This window comes from Homo sapiens, chromosome 12, assembly GCF_000001405.40.
Source record: "Homo sapiens chromosome 12, GRCh38.p14 Primary Assembly".
NCBI lineage: Eukaryota > Metazoa > Chordata > Mammalia > Primates > Hominidae > Homo > Homo sapiens.
This window is the reverse complement of record NC_000012.12, coordinates 126,013,519-126,030,555: the sequence shown is the minus strand read 5'-3', so window position 1 is coordinate 126,030,555 and position 17,037 is coordinate 126,013,519. Positions and strand designations below refer to the sequence as shown.

The following is a 17,037-nucleotide window of genomic DNA, read 5'->3' as shown; positions in this document are numbered from 1 at the left end:
ATTAACATTTATTGTTCTCCTTTCAGGGAACGTCATGCAGATAATCAAAGGTCAGTTCCTGGTCAACATAAGTAAACAAGCTTATTTAAGGTAAATTCCCCCAAACTCCCTTGTACCTACTCCTTGCCCTCTGCCTCAGGGTTATAGAACAGCTGCCTTCAGCCATTGTCCCTTGTGGCTCTGCAGAACCTTCCAACCTTTCAGAAGGTTTGTGTACTTTCTCTACAGTTTTTCCTACCATTCTGACTGATCCCCTACACAAATTGTTGGGAAACTCTCAATAGCAAGCAATTAATGTCCCTACAAACAATCATGCCAGAAGGTTAAGTACTTCTTTCAGGACATTGAGTTCTCCCTTTCCAGAAGTCCCTTATTTAATTCACATACACTTTCACTAAACTTCAACTGAGTGTCTGCTCTCCCCATAACCCCGCAACGGTCAGAGGGTGGAGACAGGGGCAAGTCATTGCTCTTGTCCTCATGGGACTCTATGGACAAGATCCATAAAAGCTGGCTCAGTTTGTGAGAGGTAGTGGCCAGATGGGGTTTTTTTTTTTTGGATAAGGTGCCTACTTATGCTGATATAGCCATACCACTACATAAGAGACAGGACACACTTTTTCATTTCAATTCAAATAGAACTTTAAATTTTCATATAGGGCTTCCTTTGTTGTAGGAGGAACCATTTGAATATCTTCAGTTACTTTTTAAGTGAAGGAGAAGGAAACACCTATTTTTTCCCAATGCCTGCATTTAGAATTTTTCAGAAGATAATTTAGAAAAAATTTGTATAAGAGCCAAGGAGCCTCCAAAGGGAAACCATTATATACAAATCCACTTGGATTTTATATTGATCTTATATCCTGCAATCTTATTCAACTTGCTTATTAGTTCTAGTAGCTTTTCTGTTGGTTCCATTTTTAAATAAATAATCATAGTATCTGTAAAGACAGTTTTCAATTTGGATATCTTTTTTTTTCTTACCCTACTGTACTGACTAGAACTCCTAGCACAATATTAAAGAGAAGTAGTGAAAGTGGACATCCTTTTCTCATCCCTATTTCCAGTGGGAAACAATCCAGATTCTCATCATTTATTATGACATTAGCTGTAGCTTGTCAGAGATGCCATTTATCAAGTCGAGGAAGTTACTAGTTTGCTGATGGTTTTGATTAGGAATAGGTGTTGGATTTTCTCAAATACGTTCTATGCATCCACTGAGATAATCATGTGTCTTTTCTCTTTTAGTTTGTGATATGGTTTGGCTCTGTCCCTACCCAACTCTCATGTTGAATTATAATTCCCAGTGTTGGAGGTGGGGCCTGGTGGGAGGTGATTGGATCATGGGGGTGGTTTCTAATGGTTTAGCTCCATCCCCCTAGTGCTATTTCATGATTGAGTTCTCATGAGATCTGGTTGTTTAAAAGTGTGTAGCACCTGCCACTACTCTCTTCCTCCTGCTCCAGCCATATAGAACATGCAAGCTTCCCCTTCACTTTCCACTGTGATTCTAAGTTTCCTGAGGCCTCCCGCAGCTCATGCTTCCTGTAAAGCCTGAAGAACCATGAGCCAATTAAACCTCTTTTCTTTATAAATTACTCAGTCTCAGGTAGTTCTTTATAGCAATGTTAAAACAAACTAATACAGTTTGTTAATTTATTGCATCACATTGATTGATTTTTTTACTTTAAACCAACCTTGCATTCCCAGAACTTCACTTTGTCATGATGCATTTTTCCTTGGTATATATTGTTAGCATTCTATTTGATACATTTTTTTCATCTATCTCTATATGTTTGCATCTGTGAATGACATTTGTTTTGTAATAGTCTTTTCTTGTAATATTCTTGTATCAGGGTAAATACTGGACTTATGAAGAAGTTCATAAGTATTCTCTCCTCACACACAGGCAGTCATTAGTACTTATCTGTTTACTCTAAGTCTCTTCTCCACAAATCTCCAGCGTTCTGTATCAGTGTAACTCTCTATACTCTGGTACTGTTAACTGCAATGTCCTCAAGACTCCCAAGTTCTACCTGGGTTCTCCTCTGCACTATGATCTGGAATCTCTCTGCAAACACTAAGCTAGAGCAATCATAGAGTTCATCTCATGTTCCTTATCTCAGAGATCATTGTTCATTGCTTTATGTTCAATAGCTTAAAAACAATCATTTCATATATTTTGTGTGACTTTCCAGCTGTTTCAAGGGAGAGGGTAAATATTACTTCTCTCACTTTATCTTGGCTCCAAGCAGAATCGGGGTCCAGAATTTTGAGTCTCAAAAGTCTTTTTTCTGACTTAACCATCCTCTCCAAAGCAATGAGTGTGTCAGAAGCCAAATCTTCAAATATAAGAAGGATCATGAGATGAAATGAAATACTTAGAAGAAATATCAGTTAATATTTTTAAATGTCATACCAACGCAAAATGCCTTTTATTTTCATACTTCGATATTGATCAGAACACCAAGCTATAAACATAGAGATAAGGGGCATTCCTATGATGTTTCCCAGAGATACATATGGGGAAAGCTCTCAATGACTAATGTAGATTTTGCAATAGACTTACATGAAGTAAGATTGTTTAGAAAAGTATTGTCCTCTTACCCAACCTGTTCTCTCTTCTGAAGCTGTGGACCTTTGTAGTTCAGAGTTTGAAGAAAGAATTTTCCAAGGTCTTCTTTAGCTTTAACATTATATGTCCCTATATTAAGCTCTAATCAGAATTGCTAAGTTACAACAGTTTTAATAAAACCAGGAATACAGACTTAACTGATGCAGTAGACTGAATGGTCTCATAAGGTTAACTATGTGTTTCTTATGGAAAGATTCACAAACCTGTGATAATAATCCTAGCATACAAGTGCGGGACACTTTACTGTGTCAACAGTAAGTTGGGCCAGTGTAGTGATCTTTGTTGGTAACCTTCCCAGCAACCATCATCCTCTTTTGCTCCCAATAGAGTCAAAATCTTGTTCAGATATCTACTCCTTTTGCACAGAACCATGAGCCTTGGGGTTATCTTCATGGATGGGTGTGATGGTAATCCATCTCCTTGGCATTGATTGGTTCATACATGGATAGATGACTTAGTATTTTCCAAAAAGAAGGAAGTTTTTCTTCTGGGAAGTACTTAGTGAAAAAAAAATTAGTTCCATAGAAAGTTATAGGAAAGAAATAACTTCTCTTGTTCCATGTCTAGATGTAATACCTGATACCACTACAACAGTCCTGCTACCTACTTGAGGTTGAAGGAAATGCCCAGGATGGTAGACCAGAGAAAAGGAAAGAGCCTTAATATCACTGAACTTCCGAATCAATCAACTCGGTGGCCTTTTGTAGGCTGGACTCTGTTATGAAGCAAGAGAAATTTCCTTTTTTAAGATGATTTGAGTTGAGATTATATTTCTTATTTGAAATTATTCAATCATACAAATATTGGTAACATTCTCATTTCTAAAAAATAATCTGAGTTACTTATCTGACCCAACATAACTTCTAAGTGATCAAGCTAGTGATAAAACTTAGTTTTTCTGGCTTCAAGATTATTGGAGGATGGAAGGGAGGAATATCTGAAGTAAAATCTTTAAATAAAATGGGGGTGAATGACTGAAACAAAATTGCATTATGTGCTGGTAAATTATTTTAGAGCAATGGATAACATCTAATCCTTTATCTTATCTTTTTTCTTAGGCTTCAGTCAGCCTCTCGTTCCAGTTGTTAGATAGAATTTTCAGAAAGGAGGCAAATTGAAAAATGGAATGCTAACACTTTTTTAAAATTTAACTCTCACTGTGTCCTTCTTCTCCTTGATATCTCTGATTATTCACTGGTTTTTAGGGACTGAGGTTAACTAAGTTTCAAGAATATGACTTATATAACCCCCACATGGTTTCTGGCAACATTAAGCCCTCACTTTTACTTGGAAATAGTTGCCTCTGGTTTAGCCCTGATGTTCCATCATAGACAGAATGTCAGTTCCCTTGTTCACTCCATTACTCTCTAGAGTCTTCTAAATGGCCCACTTTACTCACTGGCTTCCCTGGGTCCTGTTGCCATTTGAGTTTACTGTTTGTGGATGTCATTTGAAATCACAATTCAATTTCTTTTTTCCTAATTTTAGAAATTTTCAGGCCAGGCACGGTGGCTCATGCCTGTAACCCCATCACTTCGGGAGGCCAAGATGGGTGAATCACCTGAGGCCAGGAGTTTGAGACCAGCCTGACCAACATGGTGAAACCCCATCTCTACTAAAAATACAAAATTAGCTGGGTGTGATTGCACATGCCTGTAAGCCCAGCTACTTGGGAGGCTGAGGCAGGAGAATCACTTGAACCCAGGCAGTGGAGGGTGCAGTGAGCTGAGATCATGCCATTGCACTCCAGCCTGGGCAATAAGAGTGAAAATCTGTCTCAAAAAAATAAAAATTAAATTAAATTAAATTAAATTAAATAAATAAAATTCCAGTCACCAGATAGCCAAGATAGTGAATTCCTGATTATAAATGCTCATATATTTGTGAGTGGCAAATTCAAATTGTACTAGAGAATTAAGCTAGACGATTCTTTCATTTTTCTCCCTGTAATGGAAAATTCAGAAAGATTCTACATGCACAAGATGAGGGTAGGGGGGAGAGTTGATTAACATTTTCCTATCCTATTTGCGAATTGACATGTTTTCCATAAAATATATCTCATTTCTGAAGAAATACTAATATTTGAGCAAAATAAAAAGTTATCTTTTGATTCTTAATCATTTTTACTCTTTAATTTCCTGAAACTATCTTATGTTCATGCTACAAACAATTTAGTTCATTTTAAGAATACATTTATTTATGGAAGCAGCAAGTAGAGAACATTGATTTGCAATTTCAGGAGCTTGAACTGAAAGCTGTTGATTACCGAGCCCTGTTTGTAACCCAGAGGAGAATTTTGAAACCTAATTTTTGGAGCTTTTGAACACAAGTCACTCCCACTAACTTCTACTGCCAGTGAGATGTTGGGAATTAAGTATGCATAGGAGTAATCTAAATTTCCTTCTGATAATGAATAGTAATTTAGTCTGTGTCTTCCGGGTATGGCCCCATGACTTGACTTAAAGCAGAGTTTACAATTCATAAACACGCCATCTTAAAAGTGTCTTCCCTAAGTTACAAGTTTCTGCTCTTCAGTTCTAATGCAGTCAAACTTGTCTCAAGTGAAAATTCCTTTAACCCGTATTCCACTTTTGTTTGACACTCAGTGACACACGATGGCCCTGACAGGTTTTCCTCAATAACTGACAGCAGGTGAAAGGGTCTGCATGGAAACTTCTGCTACTTCACAGTTATAAAGTTCACATGGGGAGGCTGATTAGGGGCATGAGAGGGCCAAACTCCACAATCCAACAAATCCCCTGAGGCTGAGATTTGGATTCTGAAGGGATTCTTTCAATGCTTGTCTGTATACAAAGAATGTAGCCACCTGAACTCTAGAAGACAGATGAGAAAAATAAAATTCACCCTAAGTTATTTCTAACTTCAAAGACTACGGAGTAAAAGCCCAAAGATAGAATAATGGGGTTGGAATTTAAAATATCTTACGTCTAGAAATTTATGCTTTTACTCCAGTTATTTTTTTTCTCTTATCGTTATTTATTTATTTATTTACTTAATTACTTATTTTTTGAGACAAGGTCTTGCCCTGTCACCCAGGCTGGAGTGCAGTGGTGCGATCTTGGCTCACTGCAGCCTTGACCTCCTGGGCTCAAGTGATCTTCTTGCTTTAGTCTCTGCAGTAGCTGGGACTACCAGTGTGCACCACCCTGCATGGCTAATTTTTTAATTTTTCTTTTTTTGGGGGGTGGGGACAGAGTTTCACTCTTGTCTCCCAGGCTGGAGTGCAATGGTGTGATCTCAGCTCACTGCAACCTCCACCTCCAGGGTTTATGCAATTCTCCTGTCTCAGCCTCCCAAGTAGCATGGTGCCTGCCACCATGCTTGGCTAATTTTTGTATTTTTTTAGTAGAGACAGGGTTTCACTGTGTTGGCCAGGCTGGTCCTGAACTCCTGACCTCAGGTGATCCACCCACCTTGGCCTCTCAAAATGCTGGGATAACAGGCATGAGCCACCACGCCCGGCCTACTTTTTCTTTTGTAGAGACAGGGTCTCACTATGTTGACCAGGCTGGTTTCAAACTCCCACCTTGGCCTCCAGGGTAGCTGGGACCACAGGCAGGAGCCACCATGCCCAGCTAATTTTTGTGTGTGTCAGGGGAGAGCAGTTTGTAAAGATGGGGTGTCGCTATTTTGCCCAGGCTGCTTTCAAACTCCTGGGCTCAAGTGTTCTTCCTGCTCCGGCCTCCCAAAGTGCTGGGATTAAAGATGTAAGCCTAATTTATTTCTTAAAACAGGAACACTGCATTACACTGTTAATAGAAATCCAGTAGTACCTACCATCATAGGAAGTAACTATAGGAAATAAGTATTGTGCAAATTAATATGATAAAATGTTACAAAATCACAGCTATTCTTTTCTGCAGAGGCTTCTCAGTCTGGGTTTGGCTCTCTCTCTAAAACATATTACAAATTCACTGATGGCAAATACTCTCTCTCTTTTATGTAATCAAAAGGTCTGAAGGACAATCGAAATGAAAATATGTGATTTAATGTTATTTAAAGAGGTATCTGGTGCCACCTAAAACCTAAAATCGCCCAGCATTGATGCAGGTGTGTGTGTCTTCTGCCCTGGGAAAGACTGATGTGGTCTAACAGCTTCATTTTACTGATGAGATTTTAGCACAGAGAGAGGATGTGATTTATTCAAGGTATTTGGCAAAAGAAGCACCAGAACACAAGTCTTCAGGGTCTAAGTTCACAATCATTTAGCTATACCTCATCAATTTCTAAAAATACCAAGAAGGATGTGAACAGACATTTCTCAAAAGAAGACATTTATGCAGCCAACAAACATATGAAAAAAAGCTCATAATCACTGGTCATTAGAGAAATGCAAATCAAAACCACAATGAGATACCATCTCACACCAGGTAGAATGGTGATCATTAAAAAATCAGGAAACAACAGATGCTGGAGAGGATGTGGAGAAATAGGAATGCTTTTACACTGTTGGTGGGAGTGGAAATTAGTTCAAACATTATGGAAGACAGCTTGGCAATTCCTCAAGGATCTAGAACCACAAATACCATTTGACCCAGCAATCCCATTACTGGGTATATACCCAAAGGATTATAAATCATTATAATATAAAGACACATGCACACGTATGTTTATTGCAGCACTATTCACAATAGCAAAGACTTGGAACCAATCCAAATGCCCATCAATGATAGACTGGATAAAGAAAATGTGGCACGTATACACCATGGAATACTATGCAGCCATAAAAAATGAGTCCGTGTCCTTTGCAAGGACGTGGATGAAGCTGGAAACCATCATTCTCAGCAACACAGGAACAGAAAACCAAACACTGCATGTTCTCACTCATAAGTGGAAGTTGAACAATGAGAACATATGGACAGAGAGAGGGGAACATAACACACTGAGGCCTGTTGGGGGGTGGGGGTTAGGGGAGGGAGAGCATTAAGAGAAATACCTAATGTAGATGACGGATGGATGGGTGCAGCAAACTACCATGGCACATGTATACCTATGTAACAAACCTGCACATTCTGCACAAGTATCCCAGAACTTACAGTATAATTTTTTAAAAAAGAAAAATAAATTAATAAAAGAAATTCTGAAATCTTGAGATTAGAATACACATTACATGGATGTGTGCATGCTAGAACAATCTATGTACCTGAGCATTCTATGTATACCTATGTAACAAACCCGCACGTTCTGCACACATATCCCAGAACTCAAAGTATAATTTAAAAAAAGAAAAATAAGAAAAATAAATCTATGAAAAAAGAAATTCTGAAATCTTGAGATTAGAATACAAATTACATGCATCTGTGCTAGAACTATCTATGTACCTGAGCATTCTATGCCCAGCAATGTGGATAGACATCAGTTTATAGAACAGAAATGGGTTGGCACGGTGGCTCATGCTTGTAATCCCAGCACTTTGGGAGGCCGAAGTGGGTGGATCACCTGAGGTCAGGACTTCGAGACCAGTCTGGCCAACATGATGAAACCCTGTCTCTACTAAAAATACAAAAAAAAAAAAAAAAAAATAGCCTGGCATGGTGGCAGGCCCCTGCAATCCCAACTACTTGGGAAGCTGAGGCAGGAGAATCACCTGGACCCAGGAGGTGGGGGTTACAATGAGCCAAGATTGTGCCATTGTACTCCAGCCTGGGCAACAAGAGTGAAACTCCATCTCAAAAAAAAAAAAAAAAAAGTACAGAAATGGTACATGCCCTTGTGAAGTTTATAACTTCACAACTAGTAAGTTATAAACTTACTAGTAAATACATCATTTTAAAACATTGATTTGTTAATTTCAGAAGCTCTAACTGAAAGTTGTTGATTCCTGAACCTTATTTGTAATCCAGAGGAAAATTTTGAAACCTAACTCTTGGAGCTTTTGAACACAAGTCACTCTCAGTAACTTTTTTTTTCCTGTCACCTAATAACCAACCATCCTAAACTTCACGGTATAAAACAGGGGACAGCAAAGAAGGCCCCAAATCAAAATCTGATTGGCTGTCACATTTTGTAAATAAAGTTTTATTGAAACACAGCCACACCCATTCATTTACTATTGTATATGGTTGCTTTTTCACTATACTGGCAGAATTAAATAATTGCAGCAGGGACTGAATGACCCACAAAGACTAAAATATTTCCTGGTTCGTCCTTTACAGCAAAAGCTTGCAACCCCTTGGTGGAAAACAATAAAATATGTTTGAGCCAACTTAAGTGCCCAGTACTGTGCTGGGTTAAAGACAGACACTGATATTATAAACAGACCTAACGTCCATCCCTGCAAAGTGTACACTCAAAGACCCAGTTTTTGGGGTATTTTTTGTTTGTTCATTGTTCTTTTCTTAGCACCATCACCAATAAATACATGCAAAACTAAGAACTTAATGATCTCATATAGAGAAAGCGTGTTGCTCACTCCAGATGTAATAAAAGTCCATTGTCTGGATGCAAATGCTTCTTGTGGGTGTTGATTCATGATTTTCATTCACTAAAATGACCCTGCACCTTCGCCTCAGTTTCTCCACTGTGAAACAGAATCCTTTCTTTCTCTGAACATGTTAGCGTTTGGAACTGGCAGATCATGGTAGTACCTGGAGGTGAAGAAAGACTTGCTTCATTTCTGCCTATAGAAAATCGTTGTGTCTTCAAGTAAAACTTGATTTTTTTTCCTTATATTTCCAAACAGACTTTATGAGTGTGTTTAGGATTAGAAGTAATCACATAAAACATTAAAATGATCCTGACTTCTTAGTCTGATACAAAGGCAACTTGTCTATTTATGGACTCTGTTTGCGTATATAACTCCAATTAGTTAAATGTGAATGTTATCCACGCACCATTACTGACTCACGGCCTCCAGCTTTTTTTGGGAGAAAAAAATTATACTTACTTTTTCCCTATCATTAGTTTCCTTCCTAAAATTGTAATTCAAAGCTGCAGTTTTGATTCCTTGAAAAGCTGAGACATTAATGGTGGGTGGAAAGACATCCATCCATCTTAGGCTGATAATGCCCTTAATACGCCAGGGGCTTTGTGAGCCATGGCTTATGATCAATTATGCAAGTTCATTCTTCCACACCTCTAGGCTCAGATGTGAAGTCCATGTCGTAAGTAGTGAGAGCTGGTCCCTATGGTCTTAAGTTGAAAGGTTTGCTAAAAACACTAAGAACCAGAAGCCACTGGCCCACCAAGCCAAAGGCACGGCATGCAGACCACTCCTCTGGAACATGTCAGTGCAGCTCAAATCCCAGACCAAATCTGGAGGTTTTAGCCTGATGTCTGTAGGTTACATTGGTTCTCAAAGTTCTGTTTCTGAGCCTCTTTGCTTCTTTCAATGTTGATTTACACAATGTTAAAAACTGAAATAGTTGCTAACATAAAAATAAAGAGATTTCAAATCTAATTTAAGATTTCTGGTATCTCTTGAAAAAATCAGAGTATCTGTTAACACAAGGACCCCACGTCTTAATGATGACAAGGTCACTCTCCTTTTGCCTTTGACATCCGGCCACTGTCCCTTCCTTTACCTGAAGCTCACAGACATTTTCCTATCCAATGCCTCATTCTAAAGTTGTACACGTGCATAACATTCATACTTACTGATGTGGTTTGGCTGTGTCCCCACCCAAATCTCACCTTGAATTGTAATAATCCCCACATGTCAAGAGTGGGGCCAGGTGGAAATAATTGAATCATGGAGGCAGTTTCCCCCATACTGTTCTCATGGGAGTGAATAAGTCTCATGAGATCTGATGGCTTTATAAATGGGAGTTCCCCTGCACAAGCTCTCTTGCCTGCCACCATGTAAGACATGACTTTAATGGACTCAAACCTCTTTTTCTTTATAAATTACTCAGCTTCAGATATGTCTCTACTAGCAGCATGAGAACAGACTAACACACTTACATATCTAATCAGAGCCCATTTATTTTTCAGTGACATTATTTACAATGCCTTCCTTCAAAAACAAACAAATAAGCAAACATCATTTGGGGATGCCCACAGCCACTTGGCAGTTACTCCCCATGTCGACAGCAAGCATTCTGGGGTCAGCCTGCCTGGTGTAAAACCTGGCCCTGATGCTTGTACATCTGTATGGCAGCCGGCAAGCCCAGCTGCTTCTCTCTGCATCAGTTTCCTCATCTGTAAAATGGAGATAATATTAATATATACTTTGTAGAGTTACTGCAAGGGATTCATGGGATAATTTGTATGAAGCGCACAGGGCACAGCTTGGAAGAACAGAACCTCCTGACACAGGTTGGCAGTTGCTACCGTTATAACCATGACTACCTTACCACAAATGACCTCCTGCTGGTGACTGCTGTTCTCAGTTCTTCTGTCCCATGACTGACTTTCGCCTGCACTCTGTTGGGCATCGAATCACACTCTAAACTGCTTTACAGACTCTAGCTGAAGTGATTTCACCACAAATAAGATCATGTCGTCTAGACTCTTCAGCAGCTTTAGGGTCTTTCTGTTGCTCTTATAACGAAGACAGTGCAACCCACTGGAGTCCATGATGGCCAGTGTGGTCTAGCGCTTGCACTTCTCCAGCCTCAGCTCCTCCCTGCCCCAGCTCCCTTTGTGTTTCCATCCGCAGGGACCTTCTTTGGGTTCCTGGTATTCACACAGATTCTGTGCCCCAGGCCTTTTGCTCATGCTGCACTCCTTTTGCGGGTGCTCTCCTCTCCCCTCTGCAGCTCCTAAACATCTACTTGTTCTTCTCTTGACATCTCAGTGATGTAAGATATTTCTCCTCAGTCCTTTTGCAAGCTAGGGACCTCCAGCTGGTGATGCCCCACCAGGCCCCACTCAGCCATGCTGGCATGCCCCTGCTCACCTGTGTTATAGCTTGTGCCTGCATTCAGTGGTTCCCAAGCTCTTGTCCCACACCCAAGAAGAATGAGGATATGTGGGACATTGAAGGGAGGAGGGCAGAGAAGAATTTTATTGAGTGACGGAACAGCTTTCAATGGAGAAGGCATGTTGGGGATGGTCCCCGACCCCAGCAGTTGGGTGATTCTCACCTCCCCATGTAGCTGGGTCTGGGGCTTTTTACGGCCCTAGATAGTATTGGAAAAGGCAACATTCGATTAGTTAAAAGGAATTATTCAGAAAGAACCAATCGGGAAAGGGCAGGCAAACAGGAACAGAAGTTCTCACTCTGGGTCATGGGTTTCATTTGGGATCAGCAGTCTGGGCTTTTGGCCTTCATTCTGTTTTTGGCTTGAAGGTGGGGTTTCAACCGAGATCCATCCCTGTCTGTCTAGGCATTTTGCTGCCTCCTGTCACTATCATTAGTAGACACATTCCCACAGAAGCCTCCTTGACATCCCAAAGGGATGCAATCTTCCCTCTTCTGCTATTAGGGGACCATGTGCTGCTCCCTAGCAGCTCTTGTCACTGATAAAAAGATAAGTTTCATGTTTGACTCTGAGATCGTTTGCTTATTTTTCCTTCATTATACTGGGGCAGAGGCCAAGTCAAGTTCCATACACTCTTATGTCCTCAGGACCCAGCATAGAGCTGGGGCCCAGTAAACATGGGACCAAAGGAACAACTGACAGGGGCTGACTTATATTTAATTAAGTCAGTTGAACTCATTTAAGTCCTAAAGTGAAGCTCTTTGTAATGCAAATAGCTGCCCCTGATTTATTTGTAATGTTGGTTTTATTTTCACATAGCAAGTTACTAGCAGTGAATTATGTCCTCAGTCGTAGTCTTTTGGGAAATAAATGAACTAATTCTAGTTTAGTTGGGGTTTCTCACCTTAAAAATAGCTCACATTTCATGTGCCACTAACAGTTTTAAACAAAGTAATTTGGTTCTGTGTTTGCCCTGAAGAGAGCAATCTTATTCTACATGACAGTCTTCTGGAAAAATGATCCTGGTGAAGTGATTTTTTTTCTCTTTCCCTCCTTACCCCATGTACCCCAAAGCCTAGAGATCTATAATTGAAATGACAATCGTCCCCCAAAAGTCTTCATGTCCTAATCTCTGGAACCTGTGATTATATTACTTTCAGTGGCAAAATGGGATTAAGGTTGCAGATGGAATTAAGGTTGCTAACCATCTGACCATGGGATGGGGAGATTATCCTAGGATTATCCTGATTAAGGCCAGGTGCTGTGGCTCACATCTGTAATCCAGCATTTTCAGAGGCCAAGGTGGGTGGATCACTTGAGGTCAGGGGTTCAAAACCAGGCTGGCCAACATGGTAAAACCCCGTCTCTACTAAAAGTACAAAACAATTAGCTGGACATGGTGGCAGGGACCTGTGATCCCATCTACTCAGGAGGCTGAGGCAGGAGAATCGCTTGAACCTGGGAGGTGGAGCTGCAGTAAGCCAAGATCTTGCCACTGCACTCCAGCCTGGGTGACAGAGCGAGACTCCATCTCAAAACAAAAACAAAATGATTATTCAGGCAGTCCCGATGTAATCACAAGGGAACTTACAAGTGGAAAGGGAGGCAGAAGAGAGAGGGCAGAGAGATGGCAGCATGAGACGAACTCAGCTAGGAGTTGCTGGCTTTGTAGATGGAAGGGGCCAGGAGCCAAGGAATACAGGCAGCTGCTAGTGTAGCAGTCTTTCTCTCCTTAGCTCAGCTAGGTCCAAGTTCTTGTCTCACGACCAGGAAAATTTAGGCTCATTGACACCAGAGAGTAAGTGGAGTATAATTTATTAAGCAAAAGGAAAATTTTCGGTGGATATGGAATGAGAGGGGTGGTTCCCCCACCCAAAGGCAGGAAAGTGCCCCATGTGGCTGCATCTGGGGCCTTTTAAGGACTCAGAATGGAGAGTTTGTGCTGATTGGTTTGTGAGTGTGCAAAAAAGGTTAAAGCAAAGACACCATTCAAAAGTGGGCAGAACAGTGTAGAAAACCAATTAGGAAAGTGTAGGTATATGTAAAATAGGTAAAGGGTGGGGATCAATCCGAGGAAAGTTCACCAAATAAGAAGATGAGTTCTCAATCTGGTCTGATGATTTAACTTGTGGCTTGGTTTTTAGGCCTTACACTGTCTTTGGCTTGGAGATGGGGTTTCACCAAGGACCTGCCCCTATCTGCCTAGGCATTTGGCTGCCTCCTGCCTCTCTCACTACAAGCTGGAAACCCCAAGAAAATGGATTATCCCCTATAATGTCCAGAAAGAAACACAGTCCAGCAGACACCTGAGCTTTAGGCCAATGAGCTCTGTGCAACACTTCTTCTGCCTTTCAGAATTGTAAGTTAATAAAGTTAAGTTTTAAGCCACTAAGTTTGCAGAAATTTCTTACAGCAGCAATAGGAAAATAATCCAGGTACACCACATGTTAGTGCATCTCACTTTATTGTGAGATGTTGTGAGATGGGATATTGTGCATATTCCCAAATATGCATTTTTTACAAATTGAAGGTTGTGGCAATCCTGCCTCAAGCAGTTCTACAAGTGTCATTTTTCCCAACAGCGTGTGCTCGCTTCAAACTCTGTGTCACCTTTTGGTAACTCTCACAATATTTCAAACGTTTTCATTATTATTATATCCATTATGGTGAACTGGGATCGGTGATGTTACTATTGAAATTGTTTTGGGATGCCACAAATGGCACCCACACAAGATGATCAATTTAATTGATAAATGTATATGTTCTGACTGCCTCACCAAGCAGACATGTCCCTGTCTCTCCTCCTCTCCTCAGGTCTCTCTATTCCCTGAGAAAAACCAATCCTGAAATTAGGCCGGTTAATAACCCAACAACAGCCTGCCTGTGTTCAAGTGAAAGAAGAGTTGGATGTCTCTCACTTTTAATCAGAAGCTAGAAAAGATTAAGCTTAGTGAGGAAAGCATGTTGAAAGCCAAAATAGGCTTAAATCTAGACCTCTTATGCCAAACACTTACCCAAGTTGTAAAACCAAACAAAAACTGTTTGAAGGACATTAAAAGTGATACTCCAGTGAACACACGAATGATAAGAAAGCAAAACAGTCTCCTTGGTGATATGGGGAAAGTTTTAGTGGTCTGGATAGAAGAACAAACCAGCTACAACATTCCCTTAAACTGAAGCCTAACACAGGGCAAAGTTCTGACTCTCTTTAATTCTATGAAGGCTGAGAGAAATGAGGAAGTTACAAAAGAAAAGTTGGAAGCTAGCAGAGGTTAATTTATGAGGTTTAAGGAAAGAAGCCATCTCCAGAACTTAAAGGTGCAAGGTGAAGCAGCAAGTGCTGATGGAGAAGCTCAAGCAAGTTATCCAGAAGATCTAGCTAAGACCATTGATGAAGGCTACATTAAACAACAGATTTTCAATGTAGACAAAACAGCCTGCTATTGTAAGAAGATGTCTTCTAGGACCTTCATAACTAGAGAGAAGTCAATGCCTGGCTTCGAAGCTTCAAAGTACAGGCTGATGCTTCTGTTGGGAGCTAATGCAGCTGGTGACTTTATGTTGAAGCCAATACTCCATTCTGAAAATCCTAGGGCCCTTAAGAATTATGTTCAATCGACTCTGCCTGTATTCTATAAATGAAACAACAAAGGCTAGGTGACAGGACATGTGTTTACAGCATGCTTACTGAGTGTTTTAGGCCTGTTGTTGAGACCTACTGCTCAGGAACAAAAAGATTCCTTTCATATTACTGCTCATTGACAACGCACCTGGTCACCCAAGAGCTCTGATGGAGATGTACAAGGAAATTAATGTAGTTTTCATGCCTGCTAATACAACATCCATTCCACAGCCCATGGATCAAAGAGTAATTCTGGTTTTAAAGTTTTATTATTTAAGAAATACATTTTGTAAGGATATAGGTGGCTTAGATGGTGATTCTTTTGATGGATCTGGGTAAAGTAAATTGAAAGCCTCCAGAAAGCATGCACCTTTCAAGATGTCATTAAGAACATCTATGATTCACAGGAGGACCAAATATCAACACTAACAAGAATTTGGAAGAAGATGATTCCAACTCTCATGCATGACTTTGAGGGATTCAATACTTCAGTAAAGGAAGTAACTGCAGATGTGGTAGAGATAGCAAGAGAACTAGAATTAAGAGTGGAGCCTGAAGATATGACTGAATTGCTTAAATTTCATGTTAAAACTGTAACAGATGAGAAAAATTGCATCTTACGGGTGAACAAAGAAAATGGTTTCTGAGTTGGAATCTACTCCTGGGGAAGATGCTATGAACATTGATGAAGTCACAACAAATAATTTACAATATTATATAAAGTGAATTGATAAAGTAGCTGCAGGGTTTTACAGGATTGACTCCAATTCTGAAATAAGTCCTACTGTGGGTAAAATGCTATCAAACACCATGCATGCTACAGAGAAATTTTTTGTGTAAAGAAGAGTTGGTCTACGTGGCAAACTTCACTGTGGTCTTATTCCACAAAATTGCCACAGCCACCACCCTGATCAGTCAACCACCATCAACATCTAGGCAAGACCCTCCATCAGCAAAAATACTATGATTGGCTGAAGGCTCAGATGAGCATTAGCATTCTTTTAGCAATAAAGGGATTTTTAAAATTAAGGTATAGTTATTGTTTTTTCGACATAATGCTATTGCACACTTCATAGACTAGAATATAGTGTGAAGACAAGTTTTAAATGCACTGAGAAACCAAATACATTTGTGTAACTTGCTTTATTGCAATATTCAGTTGATTGTGGTGGTCTGGAACCAAGCCCACAATATCTCCAAGGTATGCCTGTGCAAGGTCTACACCAACAACTCACACAGCAAAGTCATGAAATCCACTCTGTAGGCCAGATTAAGGTTTCCCTGTCACATGATTGTGCCCAATGAAATTAATTCTTTCTTCCTTTACAAAGGCTTTACAGCACATTGTACATCTAATATAGCAGATTCTCTAAACTGCCTCTCTAACATTCCTTGTCTACTTTCTTATTGGCTTTACAGAACCCATATTTTCTTCTGAACATTTTATGCCTAGCTTAATTTTTTTCCATCACCACATTCTCCCTTGCACCTGGGGTGGCCAGTTGATCCCATTCTGGCCCATGAGACACTGTCATAAGTTTATGGAAGGGTGGTAGTTCTGGAAATGGTTTTGCTGTCCTAATAAAGGGCAAGACATGACTGTCATTACTCCTTTTACATTCTTCTTATTCTTTTTTTTGGGGGGGGGATGGGAATGTGATTGCTGGAACTTCAGCAGCCATTTGCAACTATGAGGAAAATGTCCATAAAATTGAAAAGGCATTCACCTAGATTATACTGAGGAGCTGCTAAAGTAAAGCCAAAAAATCTCTACATTTATTGATATAAGAAAAATAATTCTCTATGTATGCTATTATGGTTATCCAATTGCAATTGTGATTGATACCCAATAGCAAAGTACAATACTCACCACACTGTGCAGTCATTACAGAGAA

At 40.0% G+C, this 17,037-nt stretch overlaps 2 long non-coding RNA genes across 2 annotated transcripts in view; one reads left to right on the top strand and one right to left on the bottom strand.

Annotated features, from left to right (window-relative positions):
* The window catches only part of LINC02826 (long intergenic non-protein coding RNA 2826), a 59,958-nt gene that overhangs the window by 12,925 nt on the left and 29,996 nt on the right, over positions 1-17,037 (bottom strand). Inside the window, exon 5 of the long non-coding RNA NR_183612.1 lies at positions 2,236-2,342. This is a non-coding gene — a long non-coding RNA (long intergenic non-protein coding RNA 2826). The remainder of the gene's footprint in view (positions 1-2,235; positions 2,343-17,037) is intronic.
* On the top strand, positions 16-16,171 carry LOC105370056 (uncharacterized). The gene is made up of 3 exons (XR_001749370.2): positions 16-90; positions 13,665-13,879; positions 14,335-16,171. It is a non-coding gene; the product is annotated as an uncharacterized LOC105370056 (long non-coding RNA).